The sequence below is a fragment of the Homo sapiens genome, chromosome 15 (assembly GCF_000001405.40).
Source record: "Homo sapiens chromosome 15, GRCh38.p14 Primary Assembly".
Classification (NCBI taxonomy): domain Eukaryota; kingdom Metazoa; phylum Chordata; class Mammalia; order Primates; family Hominidae; genus Homo; species Homo sapiens.
Window position 1 is genome coordinate 76,841,206 of NC_000015.10, and position 24,610 is coordinate 76,865,815.

Here is a 24,610-nt window from a genome sequence, read left to right on the forward strand (position 1 = left end):
AGGTAATGCCAAAAAAAATCTTCAAAATCAAGAAAACGTGAAGCATAATGCTGATGTTAGTGTATGGATCAAAAGAACAATTTTTCATAAGAGGTAATTAAATGAAAAGCATACAGAATTTATTACAACTAGAAAAAGTAAGATAAATGATCCAGTCAGGGCCAGGCACAGTGGCTCATGCCTATAATCACAGCACTTTGGGAGGCCGAGATGGGTGGATCACTTAAGGTCAGGAGTTCGAGACCAGCTTGACTAACACAGCAAAACCCTGTCTCTACTAAAAATACAAAAATTAGCCAGGTGTGGTGGCATGTGCCTGTAATCCCAGCTACTCAGGAGGCTAAGGCAGGAGAATCACTTGAACCTGGGAGGCAGAGGTTGTAATGAGCCAAGATCGCGTCACTACACTCCAGCCTGGGCGACAGAGCAAAACTCCATCTCAAAGAAAAAAAAAAGATCAAGTCACATGTAGCAAAAATTCAAGAATCTGAGTTCAAATGGATTACAAGGCCTCAAAGCAAACCTTACCTTACATTCGACCACACTCTGATCTGATTCGCAAGTTACATAGATTTCATCTACTGCTCGGCGAAGATTATCAAAAAGAAATGCCCAGTATCGAGCTCTTAGATCAATTTTCCGAGGGTGCCTTGTTTTAGTGGGACTTTTATCAAAGTGTTTATCTCCAGTCGTAGACGATGTTATTTTACAGTCCACTGCAGTACTCTGGTGAAGTAAAATAAAACATGAAAATAAATAAATAAAAGGGCTTCCAGGGACTGGATTTTTTATAAAGATTCAATCAACTACAAATCAAAACTACTCCAGAAATAAAAAGCATCTGTACTGAACATGTATGGACTTTTTTCCTATCATTATTCTCTAAACAATACAGTATAACAACTATTTACATAACATTTACATTGCATTAGGTATTATAAGCAATCTAAAGATTAAAGTATATGGGAGGATATGCATAGGTTATATGCAAATACTACACCATTTTATATAAGGGACTTGAACATCCAAACATTCTGATATCCATGGGAGATTGATATGGTTAGGCTTTCTGTCCCCACCCAAATCTCATCTTGAATTATAATCTCCATAATCCCCACGTGTAAAGGGAGAGACCAGATGGAGGTAACTGAATCATGGGGGCAGTTTCCCCCATGCTGTTCTCATGATAGTAAGTTCTCACAAGATCTGATGGTTTTATAAGGTGATCTTCCTCACTTCGCTGGGCAGTTCTTCCTGCCACCTTGTGAAGAAGGTGCCTTGGTTCCTCTTCGCCTTCTGCCATGATTGTATGAGTTTCCTGAGGCCTCCGCAACCATGCTGAACTGTGAGTCAATTAAACCTCTTTCCTTTTAAATTACCCAGTCTCAGGCAGTTCATTACAGCAGTATGAAAACAGACTAATACAGACATCATGAAACCAATCCCCCATGGATACTGAGGAACAACTGTATATTATAAATCAACTTAACATATCTCTTGACCCTCTTCATACACTTCTTAGAGTATGTATTATTACCTCCACTTTACAGATTAATAAATTGAGGTTCAGAGGCTGAGTTGTTCAAGGTCACATTGCCACAGGAGACCATCTTCTAATTACAGCTCTACAATTACACTGCTGGCTTACCATTAGACTGTTGGCTGAGGTTCAGTGCTGATAGCTCTTTACCAGATATTCCAGACCACCTCATTTCTTTCTATATACCATTCAAAGTTAAAATTAACTTAGGAAGTTTCCTGAATTATACTTCCTTCCCAAAGTTTTTTTCTACATTGATCAGCAAAGGACTAGCAGCTTCCTGTGAATCCAGACGCTAATCTTATGAAATTATCAAAACTACTACCATTCATCCCTACCTGTTTATGAATTTATAACACATCCATAAAATGTGGTATATATGTATAGCATTCATAATCATGAGTAATTAAAATCATAAAGTATATCATTCAAATATTTTACCATCCTTTCTTATAATGTACAACGGGCAATAATGCCTTGGGGTTAAGCTGTTTCTATCATTACGTGTGACTGCTCTATCCAAGGCTTTTATTTACAAAGATTCCAGAAGGGCAGAAAATATATTTTATAAAGGGTTTTTGAAAACATAGTTATCATTTAATCATCACAACAAGCTGTGACAGGACAAATATTACTATTCCTATTTTGTAGATGACAAAACTGAGGCTCAGACTGAATTGCCTGACAAAGTTAAAAGAATGACAGAACTGAAACTAGAACTCAATCTTTCAATTTCTGCTCCAATGTTCACAGAGCGTTTGACATGCATCTAGCAAACAGTAAGTGCCCAAATAATGTAAGGTATGATTATCATAAGAAAGACAAAAAGGAGAAAAAATAAGCTTGTAGAAAAAATGTGCATAAACTAATGGCAATAATTGCCAACTTTGTGAAGAAAGGTAGAAAAGACACATCAAATAACAGAGGCTAGACAGGCACAGTATTATACACATGCAGTCCTAACCACTCAGGAGACTGAGGCAGGAGTATCACTTGAGCCCAGGAGTTTGAGAACAGACCAGGGCAACACAGTGAGACCTTGAAGCTCTCTTTAAAAAAAAAAATCATAGAGGCTGGTTAACTAGTAGAGAGTTTTAAAATATAGGGCTCTACTTACTACTGACAAAAAGAATAGCAGTGGTAATAACAATTGCACCAGCATCTAACATTCATGATATACTTGCTATGTGCCAAGCATTGCACCAAGTGATTTACATATACTTCATTTAATCATTGAAGCAATTTTATATTACCAGTACTAATATTATCTCCATTTTACAGAGGAGGAAACAGGTTTAGCTAAATTAAATTATACCCCCAAGCCTCAAATTAACTTAAGTGATGAAGCCAGAATTCTTAATCGGGTAACTATACTACTACTATGGCTTACTATGTCTAACTGCTTCCCAAGACACTCAATAGATGACAAAACAATCTAAACTTGCAAAAGAAGTTTCACACAATTGGATTCCATGAGGTAATAGTGTTTTAATCAAGGACATTTGAGAGACAAAGACAGAAAGAGGAAAAAAAAAAAAAAAAAGGCAGGCCAGGGAAAGAGGGAGGAAGAAATTGAGACTTCTGACTCATCCCTCTCTGAGAGGCTCATCGGCTCCCCTGAGAATCTGAGAAAACCTATGGACTTATCCCCAAAAAAATGCACGTGTATGACATTCAACATATATTTTCTTCATGTTCACAGACTCCATCTTCAACCTCAGATTAAGAAGCTCTCCAAGAAAAGAGAGAAGACCCAAATAAATAAAATTAGAGATGAAAAAGGAGACATTACAACTGATACCATAGAAATTCAAAGGATAGTTTGTGGCTACTATGAGAAACTATATGCTAATAAATTGGAAAATCTAGAGAGAATGGATAAATTCCAAGACACATACCACCTATCAAGATTGAACCATAAAGAAATCCAAACCCTGCACAGACCAATAACAAGTAACAAGATCAAAGCCATAACAAAAAGTCTTCCAGTAAAGAAAAGCTCAGGCCCTGAAGGCTTCACTGCTAAATTTTACCAAACATTTAAAAAAGAACTAGTACCAATCCTACTCAAACTATTCCAAAAACAGAGGAGGAGGGAATACTTCCAAAATCATTCTATGAGGCCAGTATTATTCTGATACCAAAATCAGACAGACACATCAAAAAAAACAAAAATACAGGCCACTATCTTTGATGAACATTGACGCAAAAATCTTCAACAAAATACTAGCAAACTGAACATGTTCAACATTTTCAACATTACATTAAAAAGATCATTCATCATGACCAAGTGTGACTTATCCCAGGGATGCATGGATGGTTTAACAATATGCAAATCAATCAATGTGATATCATATAACAAAATGAATAAAAATCACACAATCATTCCAATGCATGCTGAAAAAGTATTTAACAAAATTCAACATCCCTTCATGATAAAAACCCTCAACTACTGGGCATAGAAGGAACATACCCCAACATAATAAAAGACATATGTGACAGACACACAGCTAGTATCATACTGAATGTGGAAAAACTGAAAGCCTTTCCTTTAAGATCTGGAACATGAAAAGGATACCTGCTTTCACCACTGTTATTCAAAACAGTACGTACTGGAAGTCCTACTTAGAGCAATCAGACATGAGAAAGAAATAATTGGAAAGGAAGAAGTCAAATTATCCTTGTTTGCAGATAATATGATCTCATATTTAGAAAAACCTAAAGACTCCACCAAAAACTATTAGAACTGATAAACAAATTCAGTGAAGTTGCAGGATACAAAGTCAACATACAAAAACCAGTTGCATTTCTACATGCTAACAGTGAACAATCTGAAAAAAAAAATGGTAATTCCATTTACAGTAGACACAAATAAAATTAAATACCTAGGAATTAACCAAAGAAGTGAAACATCTCTACAATGAATACACTGATAAAAGAAATTGAAGAAGACACCAAAAAATAGAAAGATATTCCATGTTCATGAATTGGAAGAATGAATGTTATTAAAATGTCCATAATATCCAAAGCAATCTATAGATTCAATACAATCCCTATCAAAATACCAATGACATTCTTCACAGAAACAGAAAAAAAATCCTAAAATATATACAGAACCACAAAAAACCTGGAATACCCAAGGTTATCCTACACGAAAAGAACAAAACTAGAGGAATCACATTACCTGAATTAAAGTTATACTAAAGAACTATAGTAACTCAAACAGCATGGTACTGGCATAAAAACAGACACACAGATCAATGGAACATAATAAAGAGCCCAGAAAAAAAAAATCATACACCTACAGTGAACTTATTTTCAGCAAAGGTGCCAGGAACATGCACCGGGGAAAAGACAGTCTCTTCAATAAATGGTGCTGGGAAAACCGGATATCTGTATGCAGAAGAATGAAATTTGACTTTCTCTCACCATATACAAACCTCAAATCAAAATGGATCAATGACTTAAATCTAAGACCTCAAACTATGAAATTGCTACAAGAAAACATTGGGGAAAATCTCCAGGACACTGGTCTGGGCAAAAATTTCTTGAGCAATATACCCCATAAGCACAGGCAACAATGCAAAAATGTACAAATGGGATCACATCAAGTTAAAAAAAAAAACTTCTGCACAGCAAAGGAAACAATCAACAAAGTGAAGAGACAAACAACAGAATGGGAGAAAATATTTGCAAACTACCCATCTGACAAGGGATTAATAACCAGAATATATAAGGAGCTAAAACAACTCAATAGGAAAAAATCTCATAAACCAATTTTAAAATGGGCAAAAAATATAAATGAACATTTCTCAAGAGAAGACATACAAATGGCAAACAGGCATATGAAAAGGTGCTCAGTATCACTGATCATCAGAGAAATGCAAATCAAAACTAAAATGAGCTATCATCTCACCCCAGTTAAAATGGTTTTTATCTAAAACACAGGCAATTAACAAAAGATGGAGAGGATGTGGGAAAAAATGGAACCCTGGTACACTGCTGGTGGGAATGTAAATTAGTATAACCAATATGGAGAACAGTTTAGAGGTTCCTCAAAAAAACAAAAATAGAGCTATCATATGATCCAGCAAACCCACTGCTGGGTATATATACCCAAAAGAAAAGAAATCAGAATATCAAAGAGATCTGCACTCTCATGTTTGTTGCAGCACTGTTCAAAACAGCCAAGATTTGGAAGGAAGTGGCCATCATCAGATGAATAAATAATGTACATATACACAATGAAGTGCTTGCTATTCAGCCATAAAAAAAAAAATGAGATCCTGTCATTTGCACTAATATGGATGGAACTGGAGGTCCTTACGTAAATGAAATAAGCCAGGCACAGAAAGACAAACATCACATGGTCTCACTTATTTGTGGTAGCTAAATACCATATCAATTGCACTCAGAGAAAATAGAATGATAGTTACCAAAGTCTGGTAAGGGTAGCAGGGGAGTAGGGGGGAAGTGGAGATAGTTAATGGGTACAAAAAAATGGAAAGAATGGGTGCAGCAAACCACCATGGCACATGTATACCTATGTAACAAACCTGCACATTGTGCACATGTATCCCAGAACTTAAAGCATAATAAATAAATAGTAACAAATAAAAGGATAAAAAATACAAAAAAAAATGGGAAGAATGAATAAGACCTAGTACTGGGGAACACAACAGGCTATACAATATAATTTAATTGTATAGTTTCAAATAACTAAGAGTGTAACTAGATTATAATACAAAGGATAAATGTTTGAGGGGATGAATACCCCATTTTCCACGATGCAGTTATTACACACTGCATGACTGTATCAAAGTATCTCATGTACCCCATAAATATATACACCCACTATGTACCCACAAAAATTAATTTTTAAAGCAGTTCCTCAGCCGAGTGCAGTGGCTCACACTTGTAATCTCAGCACTTTGGGGGACCAAGATGAGAGGATTGCTTGAGCTTACAAGTTTGAGAACAGCCTGGGCAACACAGCAAGACCCTATTTCTACAAAAAATGAAAAGGCTAACCAGGTGTGGTGGCACACACCTGTAGTCCCAGCCACTCAGGAGGCTGAGGTGGAAGGACTGCTTGAGCCCAGGAGTTCAAGGCTGCAGTGAGCTATGATCATGCCACTGCACTCCAGCCTGGGAAACAGAGCAAGACCCTGCCTCTAAAAACATTTTTTAATTAAAATTTAAAAAGAAGCTCTCTCCCTGTATTTAGCAGGTTTTTGAAACTATCTGAAGTACAAAAATAAAGACTTTTTTCTTTTTTTTGAGAAGGAGTCTCACTCTGTTGCCCATGCTGGAGTGCAATGGCGTGATCTCAGCTCACTGCAATCTCTGCCTCCCAGGTTCAAGTGGTTCTCCCACCTCAGCCTCCCGAGTAGCTGGGATTACAGCCATCATGCCTGGCTAATTTTTCTATTTTTGTAGAAACGGGGTTTCACCATGCTGGCCAGGCTGGTCTTGAACTCCTAATCTCAGGTGACCTGCCCACCTCAGCCTCCCAAAGTGCTGGGATTACAGGCGTGAGCCACCGCGCCTGGCCTAAAACATTGTGTTTTTTTTGGGGTTTTTTTTTTTTTTTTTTTTTTTGACACAGAGTCTCGCTCTGTCGCCCAGGCTGGAGTGCAGTGGTGCAATCTCGGTTCGGTTCACTGCAAGCTCTGCCTCCCAGGTTCACGCCATTCTCCTGCCTCAGCCTCCCAAGTAGCTGGGACTACAGGCACCCGCCACCATACCCAGTTAATTTTTTTGTATTTTTAGTAGAGATGGGGTTTCACCGTGTTAGCCAGGATGGTCTCGATCTCCTGACCTCGCGATCTGCCCACCTCGGCCTCCCAAAGTGCTGGGATTATAGGCGTGAGCCACCATGCCCGGGCAAAGATTTATGTCTACCCCTTCTGAGATAATCGTTTATTATATGTGTATCTAAAGGAACATTAAATAACACACTCAATTTGTCAGTTCATGTATCTTAATATGTAATTTTTAAAATATAAAATGTACTTTAAAATCTATCAACTGGTTTTTTAGTATTTTTTAGCACACCACAGCCACCATACAGACAGGAGTGCAGCCCCTCCTCCCTAGGAACCCCCACCCCTACTCTTCACTAGGCAGGGCCCATGGCTCATGAATGCAGAACAGTCACCCCAGCCATGGCTGAGCATACCCACTGTTAGTGACACAGAGTTTCCCTGAGAAGAGGCTCCCAAAGGCATACGACAGCCCCTTGGCCACTGCCACAGTAACAGTGCTATCCCTCCTGCCCTTGGACTAGGGGAGGACACAAAGAGCCTAAGGGCTACACTCAAACTTAGAGTACATCACAGCCACCATATGGAGAGGAGACCAACCTCTCCTCCCTGTGAGCCTTCAACTCCCTGCTCCCCAACAAACAGAACCCCAAGCTCATGCCAGCAGTGCAGCCGCCCCATCCCAGTGGCTGAACACCCTCAGTAACAGTGGCTCCACATTTCTTGGAGGTGGAGCCCCTAGGGGCAATCAAAAGCCTCTCTACCACTACCTCTGCCATGGAACAGTACTTGCTACCCTCAGACTAACAAAGAAACGAAGACCCAAAGTGCCTTATCCACGCCTTCGACAAACTGCAATCAACCCAAGGAGAGAAGGCCAGTCTGTCTCCCATGGGTCCCGCCCACCTCCTGTTCATCAACAGACAGGGAACCCCCAGCTTGGGCCCACAGCACAGACCCTCCATCCTGTGATGGCACTGCTAAAGTCCCTTCCTCTGCTGGCTCCAAGTTGGGGAGGAAACATCACCCCAGAGCTGCAGTGGGCAGCCTGGGAGCGTCAAGCCACAATCTAAAGGCAATGGGAGAGGAACCCACACTTTGACAGCATTGAGAGGGAGCAAGGTTACAACTGTGAGGAAACCACACGACCAAGGAAGAAGCTATCAACTGATCAATACACTTAAGCACCACCTACTGGATCACATCCCAAAGCTTCAACACCAAAAATACGCTGCTGTGTTAGTCCGTTCTCACGCTGCTATGAAGAAATACCCGAGACAGGGTGACTTATAAAGGAAAGAGGTTTAATTGACTCACAGTTCCATATGGCTGGAGAGCCCTCAGGAAACTTACAACCATGGCGGAAGGCAAAGGAGAAACAGGCACCTTCTTCACAGAGTGGCAGGACAGAGTGAGTGCCAGCAGGGGAAATGCTGGACACCTATAAAACCATTAGGTCTCATGAGACTCACTCACTATCACGAGAACAGCATGGGGAAAACCACCCCTATGATCCAATTACCTCCACCTGGTCCCACCCTTGACACGTGGGGATTATGGGGATTACAATTCAAGGTGAGATTTGGGTGGGGACACAGAGCCAAACCATATCGCTAACATACCCATCCCCATGAAATCAAACAAAAGAAGTCAGCAACAAATAAAGACCTTGCACAAAGCTTGAGTCCTATGAAACCATCCAGAATGGAAGTCTATTAATTACTCAAACTACACTGCAGTTAAAGGACTTTTTTAGCACACTACAGCCACCATACAGACAGGAGTGCAGCCTCTCCTCCCTAGGAACCCCTGCCCCTACTCTTCACTAGGCAGGGCCCATGGCTCATGAATGCAGAACAGTCACCCCAGCCATGGCTGAGCATACCCACTGTTAGTGACACAGAGTTTCCCTGGGAAGAGGCTCCCAAAGGCACACAGAGAAAAGAAAGAACCAATGCAAGAACTCCAGTAATTCAAATGACCAGAGTGTCACATGTCTTAAAATGACCACATCAGTTCTTTAATAAGGGTTCTTAACCAGGCTGAGCTGGCTGAAATGACAGAAATAGAATTCAGAATATGAATAGGGCCTGTAATCCCAGCACTTTGAGAGGCTAAGGAAGGAGGGTCACCTGAGGTCAGGAGTTCAAGACCAGCCTGGCCAACACAGTGAAACACCATCTCTACAAAAATACAAAAATCAGCTGGGCATGATGGTGGGTACCTGTAATCCCAGCTACTCAGGAGGATGAGGCAGGAGAATCGCTTGAACCCAGGAGGTGAAGGTTGCAGTGAGCAGAGATTGCGCCATTGTATTCCAGCCTGGGCGAAAGAGCAAGACTCTGTCTCAAAAAAAAAAAAAAAAAAGAAAAAAAAAGAGAGAATATGGATAGGAACATAGATCATCGAGATTCAGGAGACAGGCAAAACCCAATCCAAGGAAACTAAGATCACAATAGGACAATACAGGAGCTAAGAAATACCCAGTATAAAAAAGAACCTAACAGATCTAACAGGGCTAAAAAACACACTAAGAATTTCACAACACAATCACAAGTATTAACAGAATAGACCAAGCTGAGGAAAGAATCTCAGAACTTGAAGGCTGGCTTTCTGAAATAAGACTGACAAAAATAAAGAAAAAGGAATGAACAAACCTCCAAGAACTGTGGGATTGTGTAAAGAAGTCAAATCTGTGAATCACTGGCATCCCTGAAAAGGATGGGGAGAAAACAAACAACTTGAAAAAATACTTCAGGATAGTATCCATGATAACTTTCCCAACCTTGATAGAGAGGCCAGCAGTCAAATTCAGGAAATACAGAGAACCTCTGCAAGATTCTACACAAGAAGATCAACCCCCAAGACATGTAATCATCAGATTTTCCAAGGTTGAAATGAAAGAAAAAATGTTGAAGGTAGCTTTAATAGAGAGAAAGGGCAGGTCACCTACAAAGGGAACCTCATAAAGCTAACATCAGACCTCTCAGCTACAAGCCAGAAGAGACTGGGGGCCTATATCCAACATTCTTAGAGAAAAAAAATCTTCAACCAAGAATTTCATATCCAGCCAAACTAAACTTGGTAAGCAAAAAAGAAATAAGGTCCTTTTCAGATAAGCAAATGTTGAGAGAGTTTATGACTACCAGACCTGCTTTACAAGAGATCTTGAAAGCAGCACAAAATATAGAAAGGAAGAACTGCTACCAACCAATACAAAAACACACTTAAATACACAGATCAGGGACACTATAAAGCGGCCACACAAACAAGCCAGCATAATAACCAGCTAACAACAACATGATAGGATCAAATTCACACGTATTGCTAACCTTGAATGTAAATGGGCTAAATGCCCCCACTTAAAAGGCACAGAGTGGCAAGTTGGATTAAAAAAAACAAGACCCAATGGTATGCTGTCTTCAAGAGACCCATATCACACATAGAGACATGCATAGGCTCAAAATAAAGGGATGGAGGGAAATCTACCAAGCAAATGGAAATCAGAAAAAAAGGAGTGGTTACAATCCTAACTTCAGACAAAACAGACTTTGGGCCAACAAAGATCAAAAAAAGACAAAAAAAAGGGCATTACATAATGATAAAAGATTCAATTCAACAAGACCTAACTATACTAAATATATATGCACCCAACACAGGAGAAGCACCTAGATTCATAAAGCAAGTTCTTAGAGACCTACAAAGAGACTTAGACTCCCACACAATAAGAGTGGAAGACCTCAGTACTCCACTGGCAGTGTTAGATCGTCAAGACAGAAAATTAACAAGGATATTCAGGGCCTGAACTCAACATTGTACCAAATGGATCTGATAGATCTCTACAGAACTCTCCAACCAAAAACACAGAATATACATTCTTCTCATTGCCACATGGCACACATACTCTAAAATCAACCTCATAATTGGACATAAAACAATCCTCAGCAAATGCAAAAAGAACTGAAATCATACCAAACACACTTTCAGACCACAATGTAATAAAAATGGAAGTCAAAACTAAGAAAATTACCCAAAACCATGCAACACATGAAACTAAACAACATGTACTTGAATGAATTCTGAGTAAATAATGAAATGAAGACAGAAATCAAGGAGTTCTTTGAAACTAATGAGAACAAAAGATACAACATACCAGAATCTCTGGGATCCAGCTAAGGCAATGTTAAGAGGGAAATTCATAGCACTAAACACCCACATCAAAAAGTTGGAAAGATCTCAAATTAACAATCTAACATCACAACTAAGAGAATTACAGAAGCAAGAGCAAATCAACCCCAAAACTAGCAGAAGACAAGATATAAACAAAATCAGAGATGAACCAAGGAAATCAAGACATGAAAAACCTTTCAAAAGATCAATAATCCAGGAGTCGGTTCTTTGAAAAAATTAATAAGATAGGCCACTAGCTGGACTAATAAAGAAGAAAAGAGAGAATATCCAAATAAACACAATTGGAAATGTCATGTTACCACTGACCCCACAGAAATAAAAATAACCATCAGAAACCGCTATGAACACCTCTGTGCATACAAACTGGAAAACCTAGAAGAGATGGATAAATTCCTGGACACATACTCCCTCCCAAGACTGAACCAGGAACAAACTGATTCTCTAAATGGACCAACAATAAACTCTGAAATTGAATCAGTAATAAGTAGCCTACCAACCAAAAAAAGCCCAGGACCAGAAGGATTCACAGCCAAATTCTACCAGATATACAAAGAAAAGCTGGTACTATTCCTACTGAAACTATTCCAAAAAATTGAGGAGAAAGAACTCCTCCCCAACTCATTCTACGAAGCCAGTATCATCCTGATACCAAAATCTGGCCGAGACACAACACGAAAAGAAACTTCAGGCCAGTATCTTTGATGAACATTGACACAAAAATCCTCAACAAAATACATGCAAACCAAATTCAGCAGTACATTAAAAATCAAGTAGGCTTCATCCCCGGGATGCAAGGTTGCTTCAGCATAGGCAAATCAATAAATGTGATTCAACACCTAAACAGAACTAAAGAAAAAAAAAAACCACATAGTTATCTCAATGGATGCAGAAAAAGCTTTCGATATAACTCAACATATCTTCACGTTAAAAACTCTCAATAAATGAGATATTAAAGGAACATACCTCAAAATAAAAAGAGCTATCTATGACAAAGCCACAGCCAACATCATACTGAAAAGGGAACAGCTGGAAGCATCTCCCCTGAAAACTGGCATAAGACAAAGATGCCTTTTCTCGCCACTCCTATTCAATACAGTATTGGAAGTCCTGGCAAGAGCCATCAGGCAAGAGAAAAAAATAAAGGGCATCCAAATAGGAAGGGAGGAAGTCAAAATATCCATTTGCAGATGACTTGATTCTATGTATCTAGAAAACCCATAGTCTCAGCACAAAAGCTCCTTAGCTGATAAACAACTTCAGCAAAGTTTCAGGATATAAAATCACCACACAAAAGTCACTAGCATTCTTCCTGTAATCCCAGCACTTTGGGAGGCCGAGGCAGGCGGATCACGAGGTCAGCAGATCGAGACCACCCTGGCCAACAAGGTGAAACCTTGTCTTTACTAAAAATACAAAAATTAGCTGGGCATGGTGACGTGAACCTGTAGTCCCAGCTACTCAGGAGGCTGAGGCAGGAGAATCGCTTGAACCCAGGAGGCGGAGGTTGTGGTGAGCCGAGATCATGCCACTGCACTCCATCCTGGCAATAGAGCAAGACTCCATCTCAAAAAAAACAAAAACAAAAAAGTCATTAGCATTCTTATACACAACAACAGCCAAGCCGAGAGTCAAATCAGGAATGCAATCCAATTCAAAATTGCGACAAAAAAGAATAAAATACCTAGAAATACAGCTAACCAGGGAGGAGAAACATCTCCACAAGAAGAATTACAAAACACTGCTCAAAGAAATCAGAGATGACACAAACAAATGGAAAAACATCCCATGCTCATGAATAGGAAGAATCAATATCATTAAAACAGCCATACTGCCCAAAGCAATTTACAGATTCAATGCTATTCCCATCAAACTACCAATGACATTCTTCACAGAATGATAAAAAACTATTTAAAATTCATGTGGAACCAAAAAAACGCCCAAATAGCCAAGGCAATCCTAAGTTTTAAAAAAAACATGGCCGGGCACGGTAGCTCACACCTGTAATCCCAGCACTTTGGGAGGCCAAGGCAGGTGGATCATGAGGTCAGAAGATCAAGACTGTCCTGGCTAACATGGTGAAACCCCATCTCTACTAAAAATACAAAAAAAAAAAAAAAAAAATTAGCCAGGCATGGTTGCAGGTGCCTGTAGTCCCAGCTACTTGGGAGGCTGAGGTAGGAGAATGGCCTGAACCCAGGAGATGGAGCTTGCAGTGAGCCGAGATCACACCACTGCACTCCAGCCTGGGTGACAGAGCGAGACTCCGTCCCAAAAAAAAATACAAAAAACAAAACCCTAGAGGCATCAATGCTACCCAACTTCAAACTATGCTATAAGGCTACAGTAACCAAAACAGCATGGTACTGGTACAAAAACAGACACAAAGATCAATGGAACAGAAGAGAGAGCCCAAAAATAAGGCCACACACCTACAACTATCTGATCTTTGACAAGACAAAAACAAGATATGGAGAAAGGACTCTCTATTCAACAAATGGTGTTGAGATAACTGGGTAGCCATATGCAGAAGACTGAAACTAGTTCCCTTCCTTACACCATATACAAAAATCAACTCAAGATGGATTAAAGACTTAAATGTAAAACCCAAAACTATAAAAATCCTGGAAGACAACTGGCAATACCATCCTCGACATAGGAACATGCAAAGATTTCTTGACAAAGACACCAAAAGCAATTGACACAAAAGCAAAATTTGACACATGGCATCTAATTAAACTTAAGAGCTTCTGCACAGCAAAAAAAAAAAAAAAAAAAAAGTAAACAACTTACAGAATGGGAGAAAATTTTTGCAAACCATGCATCTGACAGAGGTTTAATATCTGGCATCTATAATAAATGCAAACAAATTTACAAGATAAAAACAAACAACCCCATTAAAAAGTAGGCAAAGAACACAAACTCTATTCTAAAGAAGTCATACATGCAGCCGATAAGCATATGAAAAAAAGCTCAGTATCACTGTTCATCAGAGAAACGCAAGTCAAAATCACAATGAGATACCACTTCACACCAGTCGGAATGGCTATTACTAAAAAGTCAAAAAAATAACAGATCTTGGCAAGGTTGTGGAGATAAGAGAATACTTACACGCTATTGCTGGGAGTGTAAATTAGTTCGGCCATTATGGAAAGAAGTATGGCGATTCCTCAAAGAGCTAAAAACAGAAATACCATTCAACCCAGCAATCCCATTACTGGGTATATTACCAGAGGAATATAAATCATTCTACCATAAAGACACATGCACGTGAATGTTCACTGCAGCACTATTCACAATAGCAAAGAAATGGAATCAACCTAAATGCCCATCAACAACAGACTGGATAAAGAAAATTTGGTACATATATATGATGGAATACTATGTAGCCATAAAAAAGAACAAGATCATGTATTTTGCTGGAACATGAATGGAGCTGGAGGCCATTATCCTTAGCAAACTATCGCAGAAACAGAAAACCAAATACTGCATGTCCTCACTTACAAGAGCTAAATTATAAGAACTCATGAACACAAAGAAGGGAACAACAAACAGAGGGGCCTCCTTGAGGGTGGGAGAAAAAAGAGAAAGAGGAAAAATAACTATTGGGTACTAGGCTTCATACCTGCGTGATGAAATAATCTGTACGACAAACCCCCATGAAACGAGTTTACCTATATAACAAACCTGCATATGTACCCCTGAACCTAAAATAAAGGTTAAAATACATATACATATATAAGAAATATATACATGTATATGTGTATATATGTGCATATAAGTATATATTTTTATATGTATATATTAAAAACATACATATATGTATATATTTTTAACTTTTTTTACATATATATGTATATAAAATCATTGGTGCCTTTGTGTGTGGGGATGGGGGATTCTTTGTGAACTCACAATGACATCACGATTAGAAGCCCATGTTTTTCTCATATGAAATTGTATTTTACATAATACATACTATATACTTAAAAATATCAAAATAATTGTCCAAAAAATCAAAAGTTAGCCAGGCACAGTGGTGTACACTTGTGGTCCCAGCCACTCTGGAGGCTGAGGTGGGAGAATTACTTGAGCCCAGGAGGTCAAGTCATTCTGTGAGCTCTGATTGTACCACCGTACTCAGCCTGGGCAACAGTGAGACCTTATCTCAAAAAATTAAATTAAATTAATAAAATAAAATAACAACACATATGAAAATAACTATGGATTAAAAAGCTAACTATAATTATGCTAAACACTTTCAAAAGATAAAGTAGGCTTGTGTTGTCCAAAATTTTATTAGAGCTATTTAAAATTTTTGTAGTCCAAATATCTTTACCATCCTACAACCTAAAGGCATCATTATATCAAGAAAGAAAATCATAAAAGAACTGGCAAACATTGAAGGCATAGCAGAGGAGCTAAGAGCATAAACTGTGGAAATTAACCGCTGAGGGCTGAATGTGGTGGTTCATGCCTATAACCCCAGCACTTTGGGAGGCCAAGGCAGGTGGATCCCTTGAGGCCAGGAGTTTGGGACCAGCCTGGCCAACATGGTGAAACCCCGTCTCTATTAAAAATACAAAAATTAGCCGGGCATGGTGACACATGACTGTAGTTCCAGGTTCTGGGGTGGCTGAGGCATGAGAACTACTTGAACCCAAGAGGAAGAGGGTTCAGTGAGCCAAGATCACACCACTGCACTCCAGCCTGGGCAACAGGATGAGACTGTCTCAAAGAAAAAAAAAAAGTTAAAAAAAAAAAAGAAAAAAATTAACTGCCTGGGTTCAAACCCTGGCTGTGTCATTTACTAGCAAGTTACATGCCTTCTCTCTGTCTCAGTTTCTTTTTGGAACAAAACTTCAATGTAAGTGAGGATAACTGTAATGCTTACATCGAAGGGTACGAGAACCAAACAAATTAATATCTGTAAAGTATTTAGTACAAGTAAGTCACACTGATTACCATATACACATTTGTTTTTAAAAAGTACATTAAATTTTTATTTAGATAAATAATATTCAAATCCTGCAAAATAAGATTTTCATAATTTATAATACATTCAGAAATTGAAATTAAAAGTAAATAAGTAAAAAAGTTATAGATGCTGTACCTGTTTAGTAGTTTTATGAGTGCCTTGAATGGTCCTCTTAGATTTTCCACCAGTTTGACATTTAGGTTTTCCTTCAAGGCAAGAAAAAAATAAATATGTAGATATACAGAATGATAGATAGTATAAAATTGAACTACAGGTAATTAGATAATGTAAACCTAAACTACGCAAATCATTCAGGCATACTAACATTTAATCTCCTTCCAGAGACCACAGTATAGTACAGTCTGTTCATGGTCAGTATAAACCGATATAATTAAAACAACAACAACAACAAATTTCCAAAGTCCCAGAGACTGCTATTATTGAATACCTTTCTCTGAATAGGAATAAATCAACATCTTAAAGAAGTCAGATACTCTGACAACTTTTAAAAACAAAGTCCAGTTACTGGTACTCCTCAACTTGTATATAAATCTGGAAATAGTTCTTTAAGTTCAAATTTCATTTCAACAATAAAATTAAGACTATATGTTTTCTATATAAAACCCCAATATTTTGTTTTATCTGATATATGAAATGCACAATTTCACTGCGAAAAGTGAGGTTTCAGTTCTTTATATTTTTTCACTCATTCTTTTTTATAAGAAAGACACCAACTACTGTTTTGTAATTACTATTCTCAACAGCAATTCAAAACAGAAATAAAATTCTTTTTTTTTTCTTTTATTTTAGGTACAGGGGTACATGTGCAGGTTTGCTATACAGGCAAATTACGTTTCACAGGGGTTTGGTGCACAGATTATTTTGTCACTCAGGTAATTAGCATAAGTAACTGATAGGTAGTTTTTCAATCCTCACTCTCCTCCCACCCTCTACCCTCAAGTAGGCCCTGTTGTCTTTTGCTCCCTTCTTTGTGTCCATGTATATGTACTCAATGTTTAGTTCCCACTTATAAATGAGAACGTGCAGTTTTTGGTTTTCTGTTCTTGCATTAGTTCACTTAGGATAATGATCTCCAGCTCCATCCATATTGCTGCAAATAACATGATTTCATTCTTTTTATGGCTACGTAGTAGTCCATGGTGTATATATGTACCACATTTTCTTTATCCAGTCTACCATTGATGGCCATTTAGGTTGATTCCATGTTTTTGCTGTTGAAAGTAGTGCTGTGATGAACATACACATACATGTATCTTTATGGTAGAACAATTTATATTCTTTGAGTATATACTCAGTAATTAGACTGCTGGGTCAAATGGTAGTTCTGTTTTCAACTCTTTGAGTAATCACCAAAAGTGCTTTCCACAATGGCCAAACTAATTTACATTCTCACCAGCAGTGTGTAAGTGTTCCTTTTTCTCTGCAACCTCTCCAGCATTTCAAAATAGGAATAAAATTCTATAATGTATAACAGAATAATTTTCCTTTCTGCAAAGTAATTTTGGGGCCAGGTCCCCTGAAGCAATATAAGTGAGCCATAACACACAGGTACCTAACTATCAACTTATCTGACATAAGTGGGACACCCTCACTGTTCCACCAGGGGTAAAGGGAGAGAATGCTACACTAACCTACAGAGCCACATCCTTTAATTATAAAAAACAATCTACCAGCAAGTTTTCTTAGAATATCCAGCAGAAAAACCAGCTTAGAATAAGCACAAGCTGTAATGTACCAGCAGGTTTTTAGAATATCCAGCAGAAAAACCAGCTTAGAAACAGAAATAATACAAAGCAGAGAACTTTTTTTAAGTGGAATTATCCTCAGAAACACCTAAGTATATATTGTAGTCATAAAACAAGAACAAGCTGCTATTAAAAACTTAGTCTTTAATTGCCTATATGTGGCAAAGTTTTAACAATATAAAATAATCCTTAACAAAAATTGTAAATGTTAATATTCTTCTTTTGTCATCATTACTACAGATATTCAGAAAGTTCTAATTATCTGTGCTTACAGTTTTTTGGGTTTTGTTTTGTTTTGTTTTGTTTTTTTGAGACAGAGTCTCACTCTGTCCCCCAGGCTGGAGTGCAGTGGCGCGATCTCGGCTCACTGCAACCTCTGCCTCCCAGGTTCAAGCCTCCCGGGTAGCTAGGATTACAGGCACCCACTGCCATGCCCCGCTAATTGTTTTGTATTTTAGTAGAGACGAGGTTTCACCATGTTGCCCAGGCTGGTCTCGAACTCCTGAGCTCAGGCAATCCACCTGCCTCAGCCTCCCAAAGTGCTAGGATTACAGACGTGAGCCACTGCGCCCAGCCTGTGCTTACAGTTTTATTGTTACAATAGTCACAAATGAAGCTTTAAAATTGTACTGGCCAATTATTTATGTTCTTGTATGAAAAATCGGGTTATGTACAGATGTTTGATTATTATATTTTCTTTCCTTTGTTTTTTGAATAGAAACAACTTTAATAGAAACACCTTTGAACTATTTTGTGTTCAGAATAACCCATGGAAAATGAGAGAATACAATTTCATATAAAAATATTTATAATATACAGAATTTTTTTTACTTTTGTAATAAATCATGTTGATATGTACTTTTATCAAAGAAATGAAGTAATAGCTCCTTGTGGAAAGATTAGCTGTTAAGAAGCTGAATTTCAAAAGATAAATCCAATTTTCCCCTCTATTTGATAGTTTTTGTGATTCAAAACAATGTTCTCTAAAAATAGCTAGGAAAACTGAGAAAGAAAAGCTACAGGGGAAGACAGGTCCAAGCAGGCATTTAAAAATACTATAATGCCTCCATAATTAAAATAGTATGACACACATGAATTAGGTAAACAGACTAGTAGAATGGAATACATATGGAAATTCACTCTACAGAAAAGGTGGAATCAAAAATAACTGGGGCAAAGATAAACTTTATAACAAGTTATGCTGAGGCAACTTGTTAGCTATAAGGAAAAAGATAAAATTAGATCCGTACCACACACTATATGTAAGAATAAACTACAAATGGATCAGAGGACCAAATGTAAAAAAGATAAAGATTTAAAACATTCTTTAAAGAAAATTTTAAATAAAATAAAATGTAAACATAAATTTAAGAGAATAAAACAGGTGAATTCTTGTTTAGCTTGAAACATCTTGTGTAAAGATGTTCTCAAAGAATGGAAACATGATTAGAACATGTAAGGAACAGGAGCCAAGTTAAAGGGTCTCCCATTTGAAAAATTGAGAAGAATTTAAGCATCAAAATAGAGTAACTGTACCCCATTAAATACCATAAGAAGCCATGAGTCCACACAAACTGAAAATATAAATACATACATAAATACATACATACATAAAAATAAAGAGGAGATGGTAAAGCTCTTCCTTATATTAGAAGGCTAACAAATGCAGAAGGAATGATGGAGTTGTTAACAAATCACCACTTTGCAACCACCAGAGGTATAACATAAGCCAAGGATTATCAATAGAAGCTAAAAAGTAGTGAGTGTACTGTTTCAACAAAAACAGGATATTTACATAGTTTCAAACTATCTTACCACAAATTACTCATTAGTTACATAGGAAAAAATTAGTTACTTTACAGTAGAGAAATTTGGCAGACAACACTTAAAGCAATTGATTAAATTAACGAGACAGTTATCACGAACCTCCTCTGATAACTGAAAAGGACACATCATTTCTATAGAATTCCTACTAAAAACACCTACCTGAATCTAGTCATGAAAAGATACCAGACAAACCTAACTGTGAGGAATATTCTACAAGCTCTCAGAAAATTTCAAAGTGAGGTATGCCAACCTCCTGTCTTCTGTATCTCTATCCAATCTTCAACATCCTCAAAACAGTGGCTTCACACTGCCTCTAGCCATTAAAGGGAGGGTAGAGATGATTTTTTTTCTTGTTCAAATAATAATAATGAGAACTAAAGAAATATCTTCTATTTTCTAAAGTATTACATTAAATTGCACCTAATTATGGTAAATATGATTTTTAAAAAACCTCCTTTTATTTTTATAAGAATTTAATAAAAGAAAAAACCTAAATGTATTAGTCCATTTTCATACTGCTTATAAAGAACTGTCTGAAACCAGGTAATTTATAAAGGAAAGGGCTCTAATTGACTCACAGTTCAGCATGGCTGGGGAGGCCTCAGGAAACTTGCAATCATGGTGGAAGGAGAAGGGCAAGCAAGGCGCCTTCTTTACAAGGCAGCAGGAAGGAGAAGTACCGAGCTTAGGGGAAAGAGCCCCTTATAAAACCATCACATTTCATGAGAACTCACTCACTGTCACGAGAACAGCATGGGGGAAACCACCCCCATGATCCAATTACCTCCACTTGGTCTCTCCCTTGACACGTGGGGATTATGGGGATTATAATTCAAGGTGAGATTTGGGTGGGGAGACAAAGCCTAAACATATCACTAAATCTCTTATCACTTTAACAACCCCTAATCTGCTGGTCATAATAACACAATAAACCCAATTTCAAATTTCACTATTATCTGAAAAAGCAAAACTAACAATAAGGCTTTTATAAAACCATGTGTGTATAAAAGCAACAAAAAAGTATTTCTTATTTAACATACTAATCAGCCCTAGAAGTCTAATTGCAAACAGTTTTCAGTCTATCTCTTTAGGACTAAATACACCCTCCTTATTTACAACAAAAATGAAACTAATTTTTTAAATACATACCATCATCATCTTTGCTTTCTAGTGGAACACTCCAAGCTATTAGGTTTCTTGCTGTACGACCCTCCTCTGCAACTATTCTCCTTACTTTGTCATGACTATTGGAGCGCTGGAATGAAGCCTATGTATGGAAAAGATGGTACTTATTAGATTATTAGATAAGTCAAAATATATATTTAACAAAGTCATTATTTCTCACATTTTTCTCAGAAAGAAAACACTTAAAACTAATTTGGGATGTGGTGGGTGGTTAAACAGAGAAAAGGAAGTCACAAGTCTTTTTTAGATCTAAAAACACTGAGTTTTGTAACTCTAAAAAATAAACAAATTATTTAAATAATAAATATAATCTAAGGTTTGAAAAAGTGGCCTAAAGAGCACCAACACTGCTGTGGACTAATATCTGCACCATCCCTTACATATCAACAAGTCCAAGTGTGAAAGAGACCAGTTTTCACAAACATCCTATATATTTCCCCTAAAAGACCTCTTCAGCATAAAATATTTTGGAAAACGCTTTTTTTAATTCTCTAGAGATTGCGCTAAAGTAAGTCAACATTCCATTTTTAGCTACATAATTTTATCTCCAAGTTATCAGGATTCAAATAATAATTGCTGTTAACAGGTAAATTTAAATTGCAATTTTTAAAACTCAAACTATTGCACAGAACATACGTAATTTCTTGCTTGCTCTAGCCCTGCCTGGCCTAAGAACACGGGCCTAAGATTCAGCCCCACCAACACCCTGTGCCAGCTGGGAGCCAGGTCCAGTAAAATAAAGGAAATTGCCTCCCCACTAATGAATGTCATATCAAAATAGTCTGTTTTTATAAGCCAAGTATCTATGAGAAGAAAGAGATCATAAAACACCCATGTGAACACGAGGATGCAGCCTCCTTATCTAATCCTTAAATCTGTGTGGGAAACCTGCCTCTTTGTGAAACAAGTTCACCACTGGGCCAGCCCAAAATCCCAGTCCAATTAGTAGGTGCCTCCCTGCCCTCCTATAGTTCTTGCCAGCCTGGACTTTTAGCATTCCTGGAATCCTAAAGCGCAATACATTTAACGAGGCAATTACTATGTGCAAAAGCATCAAGTAAGAGACTGAGGAGAATATAAAGAAAAATATAAATATATAAAGTATTGTGCTTGTCCTCAAAGAGCTAACAATCCAAGTAAATGAAGCAAACATGTAAGAGTAAAAAATAATATATGAATTAACAAGTATGGTAGGTAGTCTTCAAAGATGCCTCCCTTGGCCCCAGAAAACCACACCTGCTGGTGTTCATGCCCTCATGTAATCCACTCCCCGTGAATATGCCTCTGTAACTTGCTTTCTGACCAATAAAATGCGGCAGAAGGGACACTGCATAACTTCTGAGACTAGGTCATCAGAAGCTTTGCAGCCTCCACCTGAGTCTCTTAGAATGCTCCCTCTTAGGGCAGTCACTCTTAAAATCCAGCTGTCATGCCATGAGAAGCCCAAGCCACAAGTAGAGAGACCACACATGGGCAGCACTCTGGTTGACAGGCCCTAGCTGAATTCCCAGAGGACAGCATCCTCTACCCACTGTGTGAGTGAGCCATTTTGGACATTCCAGCCCAGCTGAGCCCCTAGAAAACTGCTGCCATGCCAGTACCCAAGCCAACATCACATCACAAAAATCACCCAGTCAACTCACAGAATGAGATAATAGGAACTAGATGAATGCACCCTAACACACAATATACACACCTGGATCTATTTCTATACAGATATTAAAAACCGTGAGTTTATACTGATTGATTTCAATCCTAAGCCACGGGGCTCATTTTAGCCTTTCGCTTTGCTTGTCTGAAACTTCTTTCTCCAACATAAGATCCCCAGTTTTCATTATCTACAACTTATTTACTTATCTGTTCAATTCTAATATACACATAAAGTAGTTTCAAAGTTGCTAACCCATACTCCTATGAGAAACACATTTACTAACTACATTACAGCATTTACGTATGGTTCTTATCTTTAACCTTACAATATCCAAAGTACTGTTTGCCAAAATCATGTAATTAGTTCTCATCTTCACCTGGGAGTATGTTACTATTTGCCTTCCAGTTTGGATTCTCCCCACCCACTGGTTAATTTTTACTCTTTTGGGGAATATGTGAAGAAAAAGCAATACATTATTTTCAAATGAAGGAAATTAATGAGTAGCATCACTTCAGGGAAAGAAAAAAAAGTCACTATAGTACACTCTAGAGCAAGGGTCAGCAAAGATTTTCTACAAAGGGCCAGATAATAATTTTTTTTTTTTTATTTTAGGCTTTGCAGGCCATAAGACCTCTGTAACAACTACTCAATTTTGCCATTTTATGTGAAGCAGCCATAGTCAGTATGTAAACAAACAATGTGGCTGTATGGTAAGAAGCCAACTGTGAGATAAACAGACACATATTACTTGTCATTTTGAAATAAATTCAAATTACTAAAAAGTTATAAATTCACACAAAGAATATCAAACATACCCTCACACATTTTTTTCCTGAAGCATTTGAGAACAATCTGCAGTTATACTCCTTGGCAGTAAATACTTCACTATGTATTTTATATATGTAAGGATACTATCCTATATCACTATACTATAACTAACAAAATCAGGAGATTATCACTGATACAGAATTATTATTTAAATTACAGCATTTACATTTCACCAACTATCCCATTAATCTCTTTGACAGTATAAAATAAAGTTGAGAAAAAGATATAAGCCCAATTCTCCCAGAAGCTCTGCAAACCCCAAAGAGGATAAATACGAAGAAAACCACACTTAAGCATATCACAGAAAAACTGATGATAAACTGAAACAAAGAGAAAAATCTTGAGTACAGAGGAGAGGGAAAAATCAACTCATTACCTTTAAAGCAACAGCCATAAGACTGACAGCCTTGCATTGTCCAGGAAGTGATAAAAGTAATAATTTATAATAAACTCTAATAAATTGGTAACTTATTGCCTATTTAGTGGTATAGTAGGGTCAAAATCCTGACTGAAAACGGTTCAAAACAGAATGATGAGAAAAATGGGGATACTGAGTATTAAGATACTTTGAGTTTCGTCATAAAGGAGAACAAAGAAATAAATAAACAGAATGGATTTTTAAGATGAGTGATAGTATATCATACTTTCATACTGATGGGGATGATCCAGTACAGAGACAAATTGTGTTATGGTAAGAAAGAGGGAATGACAATAGGTGCTAAATCTGTGAGTGACAGGAAACAGGTTTCGGTACAAAAATGAATCAACTCGCCAACTAATATCCAACTACCAGAAAAACAAAGACTATATTCTTCTACTCTAATTCTCTGTGATGAGAGTCTAACCCAAATTTTCCTCTCCAGAACTTGTCACTTTTTACGTCTT

The 24,610-nt window shown here is 37.7% G+C and overlaps 1 protein-coding gene across 28 annotated transcripts in view; it reads right to left on the reverse strand.

The window, feature by feature from the left end:
• Positions 1–24,610, reverse strand: part of SCAPER (S-phase cyclin A associated protein in the ER) — a 557,437-nt gene that overhangs the window by 493,302 nt on the left and 39,525 nt on the right. For 19 of the 28 annotated variants that reach the window (XR_007064448.1, XM_017022273.2, XM_011521653.4 and 16 more), the window contains 2 exons: positions 16,604–16,674; positions 529–726 (listed from right to left, as the gene is read on the reverse strand). Coding sequence is in view for 19 of the 28 variants with exons in the window: in XM_047432625.1 (XP_047288581.1) it covers positions 529–726; positions 16,604–16,674 (269 nt within the window). In the remaining 9 variants the exon portion in view is untranslated. Of the gene's footprint in view, positions 1–528; positions 727–9,529; positions 9,648–9,962; positions 10,018–14,604; positions 14,672–16,603; positions 16,675–20,639; positions 20,740–21,210; positions 21,329–24,610 lie in introns of those variants that run through there. The other 9 variants (NR_148227.2, NM_020843.4, NM_001353012.2 and 6 more) reach the window with 4 other exon arrangements.